Source organism: Homo sapiens, chromosome 6 (assembly GCF_000001405.40).
Source record: "Homo sapiens chromosome 6, GRCh38.p14 Primary Assembly".
Lineage (NCBI taxonomy): Eukaryota > Metazoa > Chordata > Mammalia > Primates > Hominidae > Homo > Homo sapiens.
In genome coordinates, this window is record NC_000006.12 from 154649905 (window position 1) to 154652659 (window position 2755).

General features: G+C 37.8%; 1 annotated feature.

Annotated features, from left to right (window-relative positions):
• Nucleotides 571–865: a silencer, noted in NCBI's record as "tiled region #5041; HepG2 Repressive non-DNase unmatched - State 21:Repr". NCBI's record gives its function as "represses a minimal TATA promoter and a strong SV40 promoter by Sharpr-MPRA in HepG2 cells {active_cell/tissue: HepG2}" and the evidence as "EXISTENCE:reporter gene assay evidence [ECO:0000049][PMID:27701403]".

Sequence of the window (2755 nt, forward strand, 5' to 3'; positions counted from 1 at the left end):
TCTTTCCTGGAAAGTATCAGCTATTACGCAAAACCGGTATTTTTAAAACTCTGTGTAACACGTAGTCTTTCTAAAGGTGGAAATTCCTGTCCTTCAAATGTATGAGCCCTAAATTTATACTTAGTTTTGAAAGAAAATGTTCTGAGTCAATGTACATATACTACAAAAAAGTTCAGGCGTCTTTCATATTAAACAAACATACCATAAGAAATCCTCCCAAAATTCTGTCTATAATTTCTGACTCCAACTCGTTAACCATCATCTAATTGCCTGCAGTTATATACTTTCAGATTCAGTATTGATTCTTCTGTCCTATTGTTCACTCAGCCTGTCCAACTCAGGAAGAACGCGTTTGAAAGAATCAATGGAAAAGTTATTTGGCATAAGGGAATGTCGTGGCTGGTTTGATCTTCCATCCAGACCACTCAAACTTTCTTCATAACAGCAATAAGGCTGTTTTGCTTTCTTATCATTTGTGTGTTCACTGGAGTAGCACTTCTCATTTCCTTCAAGAGCTTTTCCTTTGCATTCACAACTTGGCTCACTGTTTGGCACAAGAGACCCAGCTTTCAGCCTATCTCGGCTTTGGACCTGCCTTCCTCACTAAGCTTAATCATTTTTAGGTTTTGATTCAAAGTGAGAGGCATGTGACCCTTCCTTTCACTTGAACACTTAGAGGCCACTGGAGGGTTCTTAATTGGGCTAATTTCAATATTGTTATCTCAGGGAACAGGGAGGTCTGAGGAGAGAGAGAGAGATGAGGAAATGCTAGTTGTTGCAGCTGTCAGAACACACACATTTATCAGCTAAATCCACTGTCTTATATGGATGCAGTTCGTGGAGGCCCAAAATAATTACAATAGTAAAAACATTAAAGATCACTGATCACAGATCCATAGAACAGATATAATAATAGTGAAAACATTGGAAATATTGCAAGAATCACCAAAATGTGACACAGAGACTCAAAGTAAGCACATGCTGTTGGAACAATGGCACTGATAGACTGGCTTGACACAGGGTTGCCACAAACCATCAATTTATAAAAACCACAATATTTGTGAAGCACAATACAGCAAAACACAATGAAAACAGATGTGTTGTGTATGCGAGGTTTTGTGGTATTTGCCTTTCTGTGCCTGGTTTATTTCACTTAAGGCCTTCCAGTTTCGTTCATGCTGTTGCAAAAAACAGAATTTCCTTCTTTTTTAAGGCTAAATAGTACCCCATTGTGTAGTATTGTACTAGTTCATTTTCACACTGCTGATAAAGACATACCTGAGACTGGGTAATTTATAAAGAAAAAGACGTTTAATGGACTCACAGTTCCACATGGCTGGGGAGGCCTCACAATTATGGCAGAAGGCGAAAGGCATGTCTTCCATGGTGGCAGGCGAAAGAGAACTGGTGCAGGGGAACTCCCCTTTATAAAACCATCAGACCTCATGAGACTTATTCACTATCATGAGAACACCATGGGAAAGACCCACCCCCGTGATTCAATTACCTCCCACCAGGTCCTTCCCATGACATGTGGGAATTGTGGGAGCTACAATTCAAGACAAGATTTGGGTGGGGACACAGCCAAACCATATCACCTCCATATACCGCATTTTAAAAATTGATTTAAACTTAGATTGATCCCATATCTTGGCTATTGTGAATAGTGCTACAATGAACATGGGAATACAGCTATCACTTCAACACACTGATTTCATTTATTTTGCATACATACTCAGTAGGGGGATTGCTAGATCATCATTCTATTTTTAAGGTAATTATAATTTTGAGGAATCTCCATACTGCTTTCCATAATGGCTATACTAATTTACCTCCCCATTAACAGTGTACAAGGGTTCCCTTTTCTCCATATCCTCTCTAACACTTGTTATCTTCTGTCTTTTTTATTATACCTGTTCTAACAGGTAAGAGATGATATCTCATTGTGGTTTCAATTCACATTGCTCTGATGATTAGTGATGTTGAGCATTTTTCTGTGTACGTATTGGTCATTCGTATATCTTCTTTTAAGAAATGTCTATTCAGATGCTTTGCCCTTCTTTTAATTGGGTTATTTGTTTTCCTACCATTGAGTTGTTTGAGTTCCTTATATAGTTTGGATATTGACCCCTCATCACATGTATGCTTTTCAAATGTTTTTGACCATTCTGTAGGTTGTCTCTTCACTCTTGATAGTTTCCTTGGCTGTGCAGAAGCTTTTTAGTTTGATTACAAGCTAAATTACAATCCCAGTGGTCTACATTTGGTTTTGTTACCTGTGCTTCTGGGGAGTCATATCCAAAAAAAATTATTGGCCAGACCAATGTCATGGAGCTTTTCTCCTGTGTTTTCTTCTACTAGTTTTACAGTTTCAGGTCTTACAGTTAGGACTTTAATCCATTTTGAGTTAATTTTTGTATATGGTGTGAGACAAAGGGCTAATTTAGTTTTTCTGCCTCTGGATATCCAGTTGTTCCAACACCATTTGTTGAAGAGACTATCCTTTCCCCATTGTGTGTTCTTGTCACCTTTGTCAAAAATCAATTGACCATAAACGTGTGGATTAGGAAATGTTAATAACAGTTGCTTTGCCTCACTCTGAGGCTTGTCAGTTTCTAAAGTGATGTTACATCTTAAAAAAAAAAAAAACAGTTAAACAGTTGAGTGACTTTATTAGAGGGATCACTTGTTTATGGATATTTGTTGTGAGGCAACACAGATTATAGTATCTTACGGTTTTTTTGAGTCAAATTGT